The sequence below is a fragment of the Homo sapiens genome, chromosome 17 (genome assembly GCF_000001405.40).
Source record: "Homo sapiens chromosome 17, GRCh38.p14 Primary Assembly".
Taxonomy (NCBI): domain Eukaryota; kingdom Metazoa; phylum Chordata; class Mammalia; order Primates; family Hominidae; genus Homo; species Homo sapiens.
In genome coordinates, this window is record NC_000017.11 from 56,045,837 (window position 1) to 56,064,764 (window position 18,928).

Genomic DNA, 18,928 nt, shown 5'->3' on the forward strand with positions numbered 1-18,928 from the left:
TTCTATGACACTATGCCTATATGGCTTTACCTGGAGCCATTCTGGATGCTATAAGTTCATAAATAATGTCTCTTCAACTTGGTTAGGCTCACAGTGCCAATGTAGACAGATGATCTACGGCTTTGTATGGTATCATTGTTAGCTAATGTGTTACTTCATAGTCTTGGGTTGCCATCCCCTGGAGTGTTTTGATGCGATCAGTTGTCAGTTTCAGGTCTGTTGTTTCTCTCACCAGAAGCCCAGCCGGTGGAAACTAACAGCCCCAAAGCCCTGCTTGTGTTAGGGGAGCTATCGAACACGGATAATGACATAAACGAGTCGGTGTTCATCTGGGGAATCTCAGACAAAGCAGCCCAGAGGAAAACCATCTCTGTCGATGAAGGTTTGTTTCATTTGCAACAGGAAAAGCAGCAGCAACAGCAGCAGCAGCAGCGACTGGAGCCCGTGCACAGGCTGGGAAGAGGTAAAGGGAGGCTGAGGCTGCCGCATGTGAGTAGCATTTTGTGATTTCTTTGCAGCTGGGAAAGGAATGCTGGGGAGGGGTCTCGGCTGTGAGGTGGGCATATGTGTGTGGGTTGGGGCTGGCAGTAATTAACAAGTGCATTTGAAATCTGTCCTCCTCTTCCAAAGGAGGTACAGGAGTGTGCCCACACGCACTTGCATTTTCTCTGCAGATTATAAAAAAAAAATCAGCAGGTGGGACATATTTTCTTTTTTTTCCTTCTTCTTCAGTCTTTAAAGTGGGCTGCATGGCAGAAAGACATCACTGTCCAGAGGAGCTTTCCCAGGTGAAAGAACTCCCTAGAGGGTTTCTTTCCCAAGTTTCTTTTGCAGATGTGTGGATCTCTATTTCTTTGCTATCAAGCGCCTTAATGTGGAGGGGCATTTACATCCCTCTAGCTGCAAAAAGATGAGGGTGACTTTTGTATCTCTGGTTCTCAGCTGGAGTTGCCTGTAATAAACAGCACCAAATCCAATATGATTTAACCTCTCAGTTGTCAATGTTGAATGTGTTCAAAGAACACAGTCTGGGCACGGAAAAGCATGAGTTGCATTTTACCCATCCTCTCAGCCTGGGGAAAATAACGAGGTATTTCAACATTGACACCTGTTTTGAACTATGGGAAAGTTTTTTCTTTTCCTTTCTTTTCTTTTTTTTTAAATTAAGCCCTGAAATTTGCTATCTGTGAACACTGGATAGATTGAAGTTGAAAGGAGACAGGTAAGAATGATTTTGCTGTAAAGCACTTTTGCAGTGAGCATCAGGTTGTCTTAGTATAAGACAGTGCTGTATACCTTTGGGTAATGGTCGTTACTAATGCTAAATAATGTGCTGAGCAAAAGTGTGTCTGGTCATAAAGTTGCCTGTATCCTGGTTATCTGGAGACACAGGATCCCCCTCCCTGCCCTGCTTCTTTCTTTCCTTAAAGGCTTTGATGTTTCTCAGCATGTCATGCTGAATGTCTAGATATTTGGGAATCTGCAGTAAATGCATACTAGTTCATCTCCAAGAGAGGGGGAAAGGGGGAGAACGAAGGAGCACGGGAGGAGCACTCTGCTTATCCTTAGAGCTGGCTTTGAGCAGCTGTGTGTAATGAGGGTTGAAGAGTCTGAGGCACTCTGCACTGGGACTTGGCCAGGAGTGGCGTGGTTGGCTGGATGCTTGGGTGCACAACTGAATGCTGTTATGTGGGAGTCAGGGCCCCAGCTCCCAAGTTGCTATGGGACATAAAATGAAATATGAACCAGGGGATGGGAACTGGGGAGAGGAAAGAGCCATCTGTCTTCTACAAGGTATCCTTTCACTGAAGCAGTTCTCCCCACGCTTCCCCTCCCTGCCCCCACCATGACACATGGGGGTAAACGGAGAAAGCTGTTCAAATCAGGTGATAAGTAGCAAGAGGGCTCAGGTGGCCATCCAAGTGGACAGGGCTCAATGCTAGGGGTCAGCACCATATCTGGACCCTTCCATGACACAGTGGTGTGCCTTGGCAGACAGGTTGAGAAGACCTAATTTAAGCAACCCAGGAAAAGCCAACAAAATAGGGCAATATGAATAATCTGATGCCTGTGACTCTTTATTTTTTCCCGTTACTATTAATGCATTGCAGAAACGTTACAGTGTTTTTAAAGGATCTTCTCCTAATCTCACCCCTTTAGCACCTCTGATTTTTCCCTGTGCCATCTCCCAATCTTTGTCCATGTATACATTTTTGACACGGTTGTAACTGTGGTTTAGATATTTGTATTTGTTTTGCTTTATTCCCTAGTATTATTCCAAAATACTTTCCCTTATTCCAGTACAACTTTCATAGAGATTATCATCTGTGGTTGGATTGAATGAATTAATCCCTGATATGGATATGCTGTAATCTGTTTAGCAATTGTTGGATATAATTAAATTGCTTATAGTTTTTTTCATAATTATAATGCCACTTATGAATATTTCTGTGCCCAAAGCATTTTTACTTCCTGGGGGGATGAATTCTTAACATTGATATTACTAAGAAAATATGAATTTTTATGGCTTTTCATGCCTGTTACCAGACTCTTCTCTGAAACGTGTTTCTATTTTCCAAAATCATCAATAATATGGTCCAGATAAACACCAATTATCTAGAGCCTGATGCACATTAGATTCTTTATTTTTTTCTCTCCCTAAATTAGGAGCTGTAAAATTATACTGGCCCCCTTTTTTAAAACTTGCTTTGAGTCCTAGTGAGCCAAGCATTCTTGTCCTCCTCAGGACAGGCCTGCAGCTTCCCAGGTGCCTTCACTCTGTCCATGACAGGCATGAGGAAATCAAGCATCAAGCTCAGCAGCCTCTCATTTCCATCCCTGTAAAGGATGAAGAAAGGAAAGGTAGAAGATCTCTATCCTGTCCCAGGGCACCTGAAAATCATGAGCCAGGGTATGCAGGAGGGGAAGCCAGCCTAGTTCCAAGCCCTAGAGCTCAATCCTGGCAGATGCCTTGGGGCCTCTGTCTTCCTTCCCTCCCCTAACAGAGCCAGCATAGAGCTAAGCGCACTTCTTGGGCAGGATTTGAAGCTGATGTCTGGCAGAGTGGGTGTGGGGTTTGGGGGAAGGTGAAGACTAGCAAAGGTAATCAGGGGAAAAAAATAACATGTCTTATAGTTTCCACTGCCCTGTAATGATCTCACAAGTGCATGTGCTTTAGTGATGGAGGCCAGACAGGGCGCAAGGATTTCTGAATGTCAACCCCTATCAAATCAGATTTGTAGAATACTTCTTTTTCAGTTTCTACCTGCTGTGGGGACAATTTTTTCAAGTGTTCTTTTATTTTCTCCTCCTTTGTGTCTTATCCATTTGGAGATTAATCTGTGCTTCCCTGACCTCCTAGGTAACTCACTTATAAATTGCTTCAGTGATTATCTCTTTTATTCATTCGCTAATGATTTGTGCAAAGGCCAAGAATGCCCAGTGGCAACCACACAGCAGCTCAGCATGCATTTGCCCACCCTGACCTGCACAAGTGGGAAATAACAGTGTCTTGGGAGCAAGACTTTCCTACCATATAGAAGCGGGTTTGATAAATGATTTTTTTTTATTATACTTTAAGTTTTAGGGTACATGTGCACATTGTGCAGGTTAGTTACATATGTATACATGTGCCATGCTGGTGCGCTGCACCCACTAACTCGTCATCTAGCATTAGGTATATCTCCCAATGCTATCCCTCCCCCTTCCCCCGACCCCACCACAGTCCCCAGAGTGTGATATTCCCCTTCCTGTGTCCATGTGTTCTCATAGTTCAATTCCCACCTATGAGTGAGAATATGCAGTGTTTGGTTTTTTGTTCTTGCGATAGTTTACCGAGAATGATGATTTCCAATTTCATCCATGTCCCTACAAAGGACATGAACTCATCATTTTTTATGGCTGCATAGTATTCCATGGTGTATATGTGCCACATTTTCTTAATCCAGTCTATCATTGTTGGACATTTGGGTTGGTTCCAAGTCTTTGCTATTGTGAATAATGCCGCAATAAACATACGTGTGCATGTGTCTTTATAGCAGCATGATTTATAGTCCTTTGGGTATATACCCAGTAATGGGATGGCTCGGTCAAATGGTATTTCTAGTTCTAGATTTCTGAGGAATCGCCACACTGACTTCCACAATGGTTGAACTAGTTTACAATCCCACCAACAGTGTAAAAGTGTTCCTATTTCTTCACATCCTCTCCAGCACCTGTTGTTTCCTGACTTTTTAATGATTGCCATTCTAACTGGTGTGAGATGGTATCTCATAGTGGTTTTGATTTGCATTTCTCTGGTGGCCAGTGATGATGAGCATTTTTTCATGTGTTTTTTGGCTGCATAAATGTCTTCTTTTGAGAAGTGTCTGTTCATGTCCTTCGCCCACTTTTTGATGGGGTTGTTTGTTTTTTTCTTGTAAATTTGTTGGAGTTCATTGTAGATTCTGGATATTAGCCCTTTGTCAGATGAGTAGGTTGCGGAAATTTTCTCCCATTTTGTAGGTTGCCTGTTCACTCTGATGGTAGTTTCTTTTGCTGTGCAGAAGCTCTTTAGTTTAATTAGATCCCATTTGTCAATTTTGTCTTTTGTTGCCATTGCTTTTGGTGTTTTGGACATGAAGTCCTTGCCCATGCCTATGTCCTGAATGGTAATGCCTAGGTTTTCTTCTAGGGTTTTTATGGTTTTAGGTCTAACGTTTAAATCTTTAATCCATCTTGAATTGATTTTTGTATAAGGTGTAAGGAAGGGATCCAGTTTCAGCTTCCTACGTATGGCTAGCCAGTTTTCCCAGCACCATTTATTAAATAGGGAATCCTTTCCCCATTGCTTGTTTTTCTCAGGTTTGTCAAAGATCAGATAGTTGTAGATATGCGGCGTTATTTCTGAGGGCTCTGTTCTGTTCCATTGATCTATATCTCTGTTTTGGTACCATCAGAGAATACTACAAACACCTCTACGCAAATAAACTAGAAAATCTAGAAGAAATGGATAAATTCCTCGACACATACACTCTCCCAAGACTAAACCAGGAAGAAGTTGAACCTCTGAATAGACCAATAACAGGAGCTGAAATTGTGGCAATAATCAATAGTTTACCAACCAAAAAGAGTCCAGGACCAGATGGATTCACAGCCGAATTCTACCAGAGGTACAAGGAGGAACTGGTACCATTCCTTCTGAAACTATTCCAATCAATAGAAAAAGAGGGAATCCTCCCTAACTCATTTTATGAGGCCAGCATCATTCTGATACCAAAGCCGGGCAGAGACACAACCAAAAAAGAGAATTTTAGACCAATATCCTTGATGAACATTGATGCAAAAATCCTCAATAAAATACTGGCAAACCAAATCCAGCAGCACATCAAAAAGCTTATCCACCATGATCAAGTGGGCTTCATCCCTGGGATGCAAGGCTGGTTCAATATACGCAAATCAATAAATGTAATCCAGCATATAAACAGAACCAAAGACAAAAACCACATGATTATCTCAATAGATGCAGAAAAAGCCTTTGACAAAATTCAACAACCCTTCATGCTAAAAACTCTCAATAAATTAGGTATTGATGGGACATATCTCAAAATAATAAGAGCTATCTATGACAAACCCACAGCCAATATCATACTGAATGGGCAAAAACTGGAAGCATTCCCTTTGAAAACTGGCACAAGACAGGGATGCCCTCTCTCACCACTCCTATTCAACATAGTGTTGGAAATTCTGGCCAGGGCAATTAGGCAGGAGAAGGAAATAAAGGGTATTCAATTAGGAAAAGAGGAAGTCAAATTGTCCCTGTTTGCAGATGACATGACTGTATATCTAGAAAACCTCATTGTCTCAGCCCAAAATCTCCTTAAGCTGATAAGCAACTTCAGCAAAGTCTCAGGATACAAAATCAATGTACAAAAATCACAAGCATTCTTATACACCAACAACAGACTAACAGAGAGCCAAATCATGAGTGAATTCCCATTCACAATTGCTTCAAAGAGAATAAAATACCTAGGAATCCAACTTACAAGGGATGTGAAGGACCTCTTCAAGGAGAACTACAAACCACTGCTCAAAGAAATAAAAGAGGATACAAACAAATGGAAGAACATTCCATGCTCATGGGTAGGAAGAATCAATATCGTGAAAATGGCCATACTGCCCAAGGTAATTTACAGATTCAATGCCATCCCCATCAAGCTCCCAATGACTTTCTTCACAGAATTGGAAAAAACTACTTTAAAGTTCATATGGAACCAAAAAAGAGCCCGCATTGCCAAGTCAATCCTAAGCCAGAAGAACAAAGCTGGAGGAATCACACTACCTGACTTCAAACTATACTACAAGGCTACAGTAACCAAAACAGCATGGTACTGGTACCAAAACAGAGATATAGATAAATGATTTTTTTTAGAAGCTTTACTGACTTTTTCAGTCTGCGAGGGCTTATTAGAAGAAGCACTGCTTTACAAAACTGGGGAGCTACTGGAAGCTGGACTCTGATCTGAGTGTGATTTCCAGTGGAAGTGGTGGGGCAGTGGTTCAGGAAGGAAAGGAAGCCTAGGATGGACAGACCAGGAGAAATGGCATGCCCGTGGCCTGCAGAAAAGAATAAAGCTTTGGTCCACTAAGGAGAAGATAAGAGGCTTTTAAATGGTAGTATTTAAGAAAGACATTAGGAGGACTTTCTAAATGATAACACTTCTCAATCTTTAGTGTATTATTGGTTTAAGGTCTAGATTTTCTGCAAAATTATATTCAGGAGGGCAAGTGTGGTTTCTGCTTTATTCACTGCATGCATTCCCATCTCTCACCTAATAATGACAGCTTCCACTTAGGGCTTGCTGTGTGTGTTGGCCATGCTTTAAGTGTTCTAGCTACATTGTTTCATGTCATCCTCTCAACAACCCTATGTGGTGTGCACTATTATTATTTCCCTCTTACAGGTTTAAAAATTGAGAAACAAGGAAGTTATACCAGAGAGTAGATGGGGTCTCACGTATGCCAGCCAGCAGATAAGAAGGCATTGCAGAAGAGAAAAGGGTCTCATGCCACTTGAAAGTTGTAGGACCACAATTTGAGCCCAAACAGTCTAGCTCCAGAGTCTGCATTCTTAATCACTGGACCGTCAACTCATTTAACATGGGATGAGGGAATGATAAAAAATGTAAAAGAGCATTGAAACACTACTGTGTAGCTAAAATGTACTAGTAATAATAATAATAACAGTAATGATGATGAGATCACAATAGTGACTAATGCTATTTACTATGTACCGGATACTTTTTGTAGGGGCTTTGAGCATATATTATTTTACTTTTTTTATTTCTAATATTTGTGGGTACATAGGAAGTGTATGTATCTGTGGGGAACATGAGATATTTTGATATAGGCATAAAATTTGTAATAATCACATCAGGATAAATGGGGCATCCATCACCTCATGCCTTTATCCCCCACCCCACCTCACTACCCTTCCCAGCCTCTGGTAACTATCCTTCCACTGTCTATCTCCATGAGTTCAACTGTTTTAATTTTTAGCACCCACAAGTGTAAATGAGAGCATACAAAGTTTGTCTTTCTGTGCCTGGCTCATTCCACTTAACATAATCACAACTTCATTTCTCTCCATGACATTGCAAATGACAGGATCTCATTCCCTTTTATGGCTAAATAGTACTCCATTGTGTATATATACTACATTTTCTTTCCCATTCATCTATTGATGGACACTTAGGTTGCTTCTAAGTCTTGGCTATTGTGAACAGAGCTGCAAAAAACATGGGAGTGCAGATATCTTGAATGTACTGATTTCTTTTCTTTGGGTTATATACCCAGCAGTGGGATTGTTGGATTTTATGGTAGCTGTATTTTTAGTTTTTTTTGAGGAAACTCCGAACTGTTCTTCACAGTGATCGTACTCATTTACATTCCCAGCAACAGTGCATGTAGGTTCCCTTTTCTCCACATCTTCACCAGCATTTGATGTTGGTTTTTAATCAATTTCCTTAATTAATGAGGAAAAAAGGTATTTTTTAAAAAAATTATTTCAATCACTTTTGGAGTACAAGTGGTTGAGTTCTATAGTGGTGAATTCTGAGATTTTAGTGCGCCTGCCATCCAAGTAATGTACGTTGTACCTAATGTGTAGTTTTTTATCCCTAGCCATTCTTCCTCCCTCCCTCTTCTGATTCTCTGAAGTCCGTTATATCACTCCATATTAAAAAGTCAACAAAAAATAGATGTTGGCTTGGATGTGGGGAAAAGGGAATGCTTTTACGCTGTTGGTGGGAATGTAAATTAGTACAACCTCTATGGAAAAACAGTATGGAGATTCCTCAAAGAGCTGAAAGTAGATCTACCATTTGATCCAGCAATCCCACTACTGGGTATGTACCCAAAGGAAAATAATTCATTATATGAAAAGGACACTTAAACATGTGCATGAATTTTTATTTAATCCTCACAACAGCCATGAAAAATAGCCACCATCCATATCTCTTATTTCACCAAGAAACTCACTCAGGTTTTGAGATGTTTTGCAACTTGTCCTGGGTCGTAGAGCTAGTGAGTCTGACCCTGATGCCTGTTACAGGCATGTCTCAGAGACATTGCGGGTTTGGTTTCAGACCACCAAAATAAAGTGGATGTTGCAATAACAAAATTCACATGATTTTTTGGTTTTCCAGTGCCTATAAAAGTTATATTTAAACTATTCTGTAGTCTATTAAGTTTACAATAGCATTATGTCTAAAAAAAATCAATGTATATACCTGAATTTAAAAATACTTAATTGCAGACTGAGCATGGTGGCTCACACCTGTAATCCTAGCACTTTTGGAGTCTGAGGCGGGTGGATCACTTGAGTCTAGGGGTTCAAGACCAGCCTGGGCAACAAAAAATAAACAAATTAGCCAGACTAATACAAGAATTAGTCCCGGCTACTCAGGAGGCTGAGGTGGGAGGATCACTTGAGCCTGGGAGGTTGAGGCTGCAGTGAGGTGTGATCACACCATTGCACTCCAGCCTGGGTGACAGAGCAAGACCCTGTCTCAAAAACAATAAAAATAAAAATAAGTAAATACAAATAAAAAACTTAAATTGCTAAAGAATACAAATGCTCATCTGAGCCTTCAGGGAGTCATAACATTTTTGTTCATCGTTGATGGCTGCTGACTGATCAGGGTGGTGGTTGTTGAAGGTTGAGGTGACTGTGGCAATTTCCTTTTTTTTTTTTCCTCTGATTTTCTTTGATTCAGGGGGTGCATGTGGTTGTTTATTACATGGATATATTGCATACTGGTGGGGATTTGGCTTCTAATGTACCCATTACCCAAATAGTAAACATTGTACCTGATAGGTAGTTTTTCAACCCTTGCCCACCTCCCGTTCTCCTCCCTTTTGGAGTCCCTAGTGGTGTTCATTATCTCCATCTTTATGTCCATGTGTACCCATTGTTTAGTTCCCACTTATAAGTGTGAACATATGAGATATTTGGTTTTCTGTTTCTGAGTTAGTTCACTTAGGATAATGGCCTTCAGCTTCATTCATGTTGCTGCAAAGGACATGATTTCATTCTGTTTTGTGGTTGTATATTATCCCATTATGTCTGTGTGTGTGTGTGTGTATTATTCCATTATGTCTGTGTGTATATATATATGTGTGTGTGTATGTATGTCTGTGTGTGTGTGTGTGTATGCCTAATGTGGTATATGTGTGTGTGTGGTATATATACATATATATATATATATATATATGTATATATACACATTTTTTTATCCAGTCAATCACTGATGGAGACGTACTCAGGTTGGTTTCATGACTTTGCTGTTGTGAATAATGCTGCAATGAACATATGAGTACAGGTGTCTTTTTATATATTGATTTCTCTTTCTTTGGGTAGATACTCAATAGTTAGATTGCTGGGTTGAATGGTAGTTCTATTTTTAGTTCTTTGAGAAATCTCTATACTGTTTTCCATAGAGGTTGAAATAATTTATATTCCCACCAGCAATGTATAAGCATTCCCTTTTCTCCATATCCACATCAACATCTGTAGCTTTTAGACTTTTTAATAATAGCCATTCTGACTAGCATAAGATATCTCATTGTGGTTTTAATTTGTGTTTCTCTGACAATTATTGATGTTGAGAATTTTTTCATGTTTTTTTTTCTTTTGCTGCTTATATTTCCTCTTTTGAAAAATATCAGTTCATGTTCTTTGCCCAGTTTTTAATGTTTTTCTTTTTTCTTGTTGAGTTGTTTGAGTTCCTTGTAGATTCTGGATATATTAGTCCTTTGTCAGAAGCATAATTTGCAAATATTTTCTTCCATTCTGTTGGTTGGTTGTTTACTCAGTTGATTCTTTTCTTTTGCTGTGCAGACTCTTTTTATTTTAATTAAGTCCCATACTGCTAAAAATACTCTACAGATTAACACAATCTTTGTCAAATTACTAATGTCATTTCTTATAGAATTAGAAAAAACAATTTTAAAGTTCACGTGAAACCAAAAAAGACCCTGAATAGTCAAAACAATTCTAAGCAAAAAAAAAAAAAAGCCAGAGGGATTGCATTGCCTGACTTCAAATTATACTACAAGGCTGCAGTGACTGAAACAACATGGTTCTGATATAAAAATAGACACATAGATCAATGGGACAGAATAGAGAACCCAAATATAAAGCCCAGTGCCTACAATCAACTGATCTTTGACAAAGCTGACAAAAATAAGCAATGGAGATAGGACAGTCTATTCAATAAATGGTGCTGGGAAAACTGGCTAGACATATGCAGAAGAATGAAACTGGACCCCTATCCCTTACCATATATAAATAATTAACTCAAGATGAATTAAGACTTAAATGTAAGACCTGAAACTATAAAAATCCTAGAAGAAAACTAGGAAAAACTCTTCTGGACATTTGCCTAGGCAAAGAATTTATGATGAAGACTCCAAAAGCAAATGCAACAAAAATGAAAATAGATAAATTGGCAATTTTAAAAAATAACAGTGAAGTTTGCTGCATTGTTTGACTTTGACTCTCTTTCGCAAAATATTTCTCTGTAGCATATTTTGTTTAATGGCATTTTGTCCACAGCAGAACTTCTGTCATAATTTGAATCAATTATCTCAAACCCTGCTACTGCTTTATCAACCCAAGTTTATGTATTTTCAAAATCCTTTGTTGTCATCTCAACAGTGTTCACAGCATCTTCACTAGGAGTAAATTCCATCTAAAGAAACCACTTTCTTTGCTCATGCATAAGAAACAACTCCTCATCTACTCAAGATTTATCATGAGATTGCAGCAATTCAGTCACACCTTTAGGTTCCACTTCTAATTCTAGTTCTCTTGTTCTTTCCACCACATTTGCAGTTACTTCCTCCACTGAAGGCTTGGATCCCTCAAAGTCAACCATGAAGAATGCAATCAACTTCTTCAAAACTCCTGTTAATGATACTTTTACCTTCCCCCATGAATCACAAGTGTTCTTAATGGCATCTAGAATGGGGAATCCTTTCCAGAAGACTTTTGATTTAGTTTGTCAAGCTCCATCAGCAGCGATATACTTAAGAAGTATATTTCTTAAATACTAAGACTTGAAGGCTGGGCACAGTATATACAGCAGCGATAGACTTAAGTATATTTCTTAAATAGTAAGACTTGAAGGCTGGGCACAGTGGCTCACGCCTGTAATCCCAGCACTTTGAGAGGCAGAGGCGGGCAGATCACTTGAGGTCAGAAGTTCGAGACCAACCTGGCCAACATGGTCAAAACCAGTCTCTACTAAAAGTACAAAAATTAGCCGGGTCTCATGCCACACACCTGCAGTCCCACCTACTTGAGAGGCTGAGGCAGGAGAATCACTTGAACCCAGGAGGCGGAGGTTGCAGTGAGCCAAGATTGTGCCACTGCCCTCAGCCTGGGCAACAGAGTGAAACTCTGTCTCAAAAAAAAAAAATGTGTTGAAATAACTGCTTGATCCATGGGCTGCAGAATGGGTGTTATGTTAGAAGGCATGAAAATGACATTAATTTCCTTCTAGATCTCCATCGGAGATCATCTTCTTCTCCATCGGAGCTCTTCAGTAACTAGATGCATTGTCAATGAGCAGTAATATTTTGAAATAAATCTGTTTTTCTGAGCAGTACTTTTCAACAATGGATTTAAAATATTTAGTACACCATGCCGTACACAGATGTGCTGTCTGTCATTTAGGCATTATTTTACATTATTTGCATAGCACAGAGTAGATTTAGCATAATTTTTAAAGGCCCTAGGGTATTTGGAATGGTAAATGAACAATGGCTTCAACTTAAAGTCACCAGCTGCATTGGTCTCTAACAAGAGAGCCAGTCTGTCCTTTGAAGCTTTGAAGCCAAGCATTGACTTCTCCTCTCTAACTATGAAAGTCCTAGATGTTACCTTCTTCCAATAGAAGGCTGTTTCATCTGCATGGAAAATCTGTTGTTTTTAGTGTCGCCACCTTCATGAATAATCTTAGCTAGATCCTCTGGAAACATTTCTGCAGCTTCTACATCAGCACTTGCTGCTTCACCTTGCACTTTTATGTTACAAAGGCAGCTTCTTTCCTTAAACCTCATGAACCAACCTCTGCTAGCTTCCAGCTTTTCTTTTTTACTTTAAGTTCCAGGATACATGTGCAGAACATGCAGGTTTGTTACATAAATAAACTTGTGCCATGGTGGTTCACTGTGCCTATTGACCCATCCTCTAAGTTCCCTCCCCTTGCCCCCTACCCCCCAAAAGGCCCTGCTGTGTGTTGTTCCGCTCCGTGTCCAAGTGTTCTCATTGTTCAACTCACACTTATAAGTGAAACCATACAGTGTTTGGTTCTCTGTTCCTGTGTTAGTTTGCTGAGGATGATGCCTTCCAGCTTCATCCACGTCCCTGCAAAGGACATGATCTCATTCACTTTTATGGCTGTGCAGTATTCCATGGTGTATATGTACCACATTTTCTTTACCCAGTCTATCATTGATGGGCATTTGGGTTGGTTCCATGACTTTGCTATTGTAAATAGTGCTGCAATAAGCATATGTGTGCATGTGTCTTTATAGTAGAATGATTTATAACCCTTTGGGTATAAACCAAGTAATGGGATTGCTGGGTCAAATGGTATTTCTGGTTCTAGATCCTTGAGGAGTCACCATACTATCTTCCACAATGGTTGAACTAATTTACATTCCCACCAACAGTGTAACAGGGTTCCTATTTCCCCACAGCCTCACCAGCATCTATTGGTTCTTGACTTTTTAATAATCTCCATTCTGACTGGCCTGAGGTGGTATCCCATTGTGGTTTTGATTTGCATTTTTCTAATGATCAGTGATGTTGAGCTTTTTTTCATATGTTTTTTGGCCATGTAAATGTCTTCTTTGAGAAGTCTCTGTTCATATACTTTGCCCACTTTTTTTGAGGGGTTGTTTTTTTCTTGTAAATTTGTTTAAGTTCCTTGTAAATTCTGGATATTAGACCTTTGTCAGATGGGCAGCTTGCAAAAATGTTCTCCCATTCTGTAGGTTGCCTATTTACTCTGATGCTAGTTTCTTTTGCTGTGCAGAAGCTGTTTAGTTTAATTAGATCCCATTTGTCAATTTTGGCTTTTGTTGCAATTGCTTTTGATGTTTTTTGTCATGAAGTCTTTGCCTATGCCTATGTCCTGAATGGTATTGCCTAGGTTTTCTTCTAGGGTTTTTATGGTTTGGGGTTTTTACATTTAAGTCTTTATTCCATCTTGAGTTAACTTTTGTATAAGGTGTAAGGAAGGGATCCAGTTTCAGTTTTTGGCATATGGCTAGCCAGTTTTCCCAGCACCATTTATTGAATAGGAGATCCTTTCCCTATTGCTTGTTTTTGTCAGGTTTGTTGAAGATCACATGTTGTAGATGTGTGGTTTTCTGAGGTCTCTATTTTGTTCCATTGTTCTATATGTCTATTTTGGTAACAGTACTATGCTGTTTTGCTTACTGTAGCCTTGTAGTATAGTTTGATGTCAGGTAGCATGATGCCTCCAGCTTTGTTCTTTTTGCTTAGAATTGTCTTGGATATACAGGTTCTTCTTTGACTTCATATGAAATTTGAAGTGTTTTTTTTCTAATTCTGTGAAGAATGTCAATGGTAGTTTGATAGGAATAGCATTGAATCTATAAATTACTTTGGGCAGTATGGCCATTTTCATAATATTGATTCTTCCTATCCATGAGGATGGAATGTTTTTCCATTTGTTTGTGTCCTCTCTTATTTCCTTGAGAAGTGGTTTGTAGTTCTCCTTGAAGAGGTCCTTCACATTCCTTGTTAGCTGTATTCCTAGGTATTTTATTCTTTTTGTAGCAATTGTGAATGGGAGTTCATTCATGATTTGGCTCTCTGCTTGTCTATTTTTGGTGTAAAGGAACACTTGTGATTTTTGCACATTGACTTTGTATCCTGTGACTTTGCTGAAATTGCTTCTCAGTTTAAGGAGTTTTGGGGCTGAGATTATAAGGTTTTCTAAATATAAAATCATGTCATCTGCAAACAGAGACAACTTGACTTCCTCTCTTCCTGTTTGAATGCCCTTTATGTATTTCTTTTGCCTGATTGCCCTGGCCAGAACTTCCAATACTATGTTGAATAGGAGTGGCGAGAGAGGGGATCCTTTTCTTGTACCAGTTTTCAAAAAGAATGCTTCCAGCTTTTGCCCATTTCATATGATAGTGGCTGTGGGTTTGTCATAAATAGCTCTTATTATTTTGAGATATTTTCCATCAATACCTAGTTTATTGCGTGTTTCTAACATGAAGGGATGTTGAATTTTATCAAAGGCCTTTTCTACATCTGTTGAGATAATCATGTGGGTTTTGTCTTTGGTTCTGTTTATGTGATGGATTACATTTATTGATTTGTGTATGTTGAACCAGCTTTGCATCACAGGGATGAAGCCAACTTGATCGTGGTGTATATTTCTTTGATGTGCTACTGGATTCAGTTTGCCAGTATTTTACAGAGGATTTTCACATCGATGTTCAACAGGGATATTGGCCTGAAGTTTTCTTTTTTAGTTGTGTCTCCTCCAGGTTTTGGTATCAGGATAATTCTGGCTTCATCATAAAATGAGTTAGGGAGGAGTCCCTCTTTTTCAACTGTTTGGAATAGTTTCAGAAGGAATGGTACCAGCTCCTTTTTGTACCTCTAGAAGGATTTGGCTGTGAATCTGTCTGGTCCTGGGCTTTTTTTGGTTGGTAGGCTATTAATTACTGCCTTAGTTCCATAACTTGTTATTGGTCTATTCAGGGATTCAACTTCTTCCTGGTTTAGTCTTGGGAGGGTGTATGTGTCCAGGAATTTTATGCATGTCTTTAGATTTTCTAGTTTATTTGCATAGAGGTATGTATAGCATTCTCTGATTTCTCTGATGGTAGTTTTTCTTTTTTTTTTTTTTTTTTTTTTTGAGATGGAGTTTCACTCTTGTCACCCAGGCTGGAGTGCAGTGGCATGATATTGGCTCACTGCAACTTCTGCCTCCCAGGTTCAAATGATTCTCCTGCCTCAGCCTCCTGAGTAGCTGGGATTACAGGTGCCTGCCACCATGCCCAGCTAATTTTTTGTATTTTTAGTAGAGACAGTGTTTCTCCATGTTGGGCAGGCTGTTCTCGAACTCCTGACCTCAGGTGATCTGCCCACCTTGGCCTCCCAAAGTGCTGGGATTACAGGCATGAGCCACCACACCCAGCCGGTAGTTTGTATTTCTATGGGGTCAGTGGTGACATCCCCTTCATCATTTTTTATTGTGTGTATTTAATTCTTCTCTCTTTTCTTCTTTATTAGTCTAGCTAGCAATCTATCTATTTTGTTAAATTGTTCAAAAAACACCTCCTGGATTTATGATTTTTGGAGGGTTTTTCATACTCTATCTCCTTCAGTTCTGCTCTGATCTTAGCTAGCTTTTGGATAGTTTGCTCTTGCCTCTCTAGCTCTTAGAGATGTTAGGGTGTTGATTTGAGATCTTTCTAGCTTTCTGATGTGAGCATTTAGTGCTGTAAGTTTCCCTCAACACTGCTTTAGCTATGTCCCAGAGGTTCTGGTACATTGCCTCTTTGTTCTCATTGTTTCAAAGAGCTTCTTGATTTCTGCCTTCATTTCATTATTTACCCAGGAGTCATTTAGGAGCATGTTATTCAATTTCCATGTAGTTGTGTGGTTTTGAGTGAGTTTCTTAATCCTGAGTTCTAATTTGATTGCAGTGTGGCCTGAGAGACTGTTTGTTATGATTTCAGTTCTTTTGCATTTGCTGAGGAGTGTTTTACTTCCAATTATGTGGTCCATTTTAGAAAAAGTGCCACGTAACATTAAGAAGAACATATATTCTGTTGATTTGGAGTGGAGAGTTCCGTAGATGTCCATTAGGTCCACTTGATCCAAAGCTGAGTTCAAGTCCCAAATATCCTTGCTAATTTTCTCTCTCATTGATCTGTCTAATATTGACAGTGGGGTGTTAAAGCCTCCCACTATTATTGTGTAGGAGTCTAAGTCTCTTTGTAGGTCTCTAAAAACTTGTTTTATGACTCTGGGTGCTCCTGTATTAGGTGCATATATATTTAGAATAGTTAGCCCTTCTTGTTGAATTGTTCCCTTTACCATTATGTAGTGCCCTTCTTTGTCTTTTCTGATCTTGGTTGGTTCAAAGTCTTTTTTGTCAGAGACTAGGATTGTAATCTCTGCTTTTTTTTTTTTTTCTTTCCATTTGCTTGGTAAATTTTCCTCCATCCCTTTATTTTGAGCCTATGAGTGTTTTTGCACACATAGATGGGTCTCTTGAATACAGTGCACCAATGGGTCTTGACTCTATCCAATTTGCCAGTCTGTGTCTTTTAATTGGGGCATTTAGCCCATTTACATTTAAGGTTAAGTGTGAATTTGGTCCTGTCATCATGATGCTATCTGGTTATTTTGCACACTAGTTGATGCAGTTTCTTCATAGTGTCATTGATTTTTTATTTTGGTGTGTTTTTGCAGTGGCTGGTACTGGTTTTTCCTTTCTATATTTAGTGCTTCTTTCAGGAGCTCTTGCAAGGCAGGCCTGGTGGTAAAGAAATCCCTCAGCATTTGCTTGTCTGGAAAGAAATTTATTTCTCCTTCGCTTATGAAGCTTAGTTTGGCTGGGTATGAAATTCTCAGAGGAAAATTCTTTTCTTTAAGAACGTTGAATATTGTCCCCCAATCTCTTCTGGCTTGTAGAGTTTCTGCTGAGAGGTCCACTGTTAGTCTGATGGGCTTCCCTTTTTAGGTGACGTGGCCTTTCTCTCAGGCTGCCCTTAATATTTTTCTCAGGCTGCCCTTAACATTTTTCCCTTCATTTCAACCTTAGAGAATCCGAAGATTATATGTCTTGGGATTGATCTTCTTATAGTGTATCTTAGTGGTGTTCTCTGTATTTCCTGAATGTGCATATTGGCCTGTCTTGTTAGATTGGGGAAGTTCTCCTGGATAATATCCTGAAATGTGTTTTCCAGCTTGTTTCCATTCTTCCCATTTCCTCGTACTCCAATCAATCATAGGTTTGGTCTTTTTATGAAATCTCTTATTTCTTGGTGGCTTTGTTCATTCCTTTTCATTCCTTTTTTCTCTAGTCTTGTCTGTATGCCTTATTTCAGCAAGGTGGTCTTTAAAACTCTGATATCCTTTCTTCTGCTTGGTCGATTTGGCTATTGATACTTGTGTATGCTTCACAAAGTACTTGTGCTGTTTTTCAGCTCCATCAGGTCATTTATGTTCCTCTCTAAAATGGTTACTGTAGTTAGCAGTTCCTCTAACCTTTTATCAAGGTTCTTAGCTTCTTTGCATTGGGTTAGAACATGCTCCTTTAGCTCAGCATGGTTTTGTATTACTCATCTTCTGAAGCCTACTTCTGTCAATTCATCCATCTCATTCTCCATCCAGTTCTGTGCTCTTGCTGGAGAGAGATCGTGATCATTTAGAGGAGAAAAGGCACTCTGGCCTTTTGAGTTTTCAGCATTTTTTTCTTATCTTCATGAGTTTGTTTAGTTTCGATCTTTGAGGCTGCTGACCCTTGGATAGAGATTTGTGGGTGATTTTGTTGTTGTTGATGATGCTGTTGTTGTTGCTTTCTGTTTACTTTTCTTTCAATGGCCAGGTCCCTCTTCTGTAGGGCTGCTGCAGTTTGTTGGGGGTTCACTTCAGGCCCTATTCATCTGGTTCACTCTCATACCTGGAGATGTCATTGAAGGAGGCTGGAGAACAGCAAAGATGGGTGCGTACTCCTTCTTCTGGGATCTCTGACCAACCTGATGCCAGTAGAATCACTTCCGTATAAGATGTCTGACAACCCCTGTTGGAGGGTCTCACCCAGTTGGGTGGCATGGGGAGTAGGACCCACTTAATGAAGCACTTTGTCCCTTGATGGAAGGGGTGTGCTGTGCTGGGGGAAAACCCACTCGTCTGGGCTGCCCATATTCCTCTGTACTAACAGGAGGAAAGGCTAAGTGTGCTGGTCTGCGGAGACTGCGGCCACCACTCCCGCTAGGGGCTCAGGCCCAGGGACATCTGGGTTCTGTCCCTGAGCCTCTGGCTGGAGTTATCGGAGTCCCTGCAGGGAAGCCCTGCCCAGTGAGGAAGGATGAGCCAGGGTCAGGCCTGAAGAGGCACTCTGGCCGCAGTCTGCCACTGCTGGTATGTTGGGCTGTGGGACCAGCATCTTGAGACCAAGCCGTCCAGGCCCCCTGGCTCCAGCAGGGGAAAAGCACAGCCTGGAGCTATAGCAATAGATGCCACCTTTCCCCCACCCAGGCAGCTTAGCATGTTAGGCATTTGTGACTCCAAGTACTGGCTGCTGCCTCTCCCCTAAGGAGCTCAAATGGCTTAGACAGCAGGCAGCCGCAGCTGTGGTGCTTGTTGCCCCTCCCCCCA

The 18,928-nt window shown here is 40.1% G+C and overlaps 1 protein-coding gene across 1 annotated transcript in view; it reads left to right on the plus strand.

Moving 5' to 3' along the window:
• The first annotated feature begins 240 nt into the window (after nucleotides 1-240).
• ANKFN1 (ankyrin repeat and fibronectin type III domain containing 1) overlaps nucleotides 241-18,928 on the plus strand; it is a 470,940-nt gene continuing 452,252 nt past the window's right edge. The window contains exon 1 of the mRNA XM_047435502.1: nucleotides 241-489. The gene's annotated coding sequence lies outside the window, so the exon portion shown is untranslated. The remainder of the gene's footprint in view (nucleotides 490-18,928) is intronic.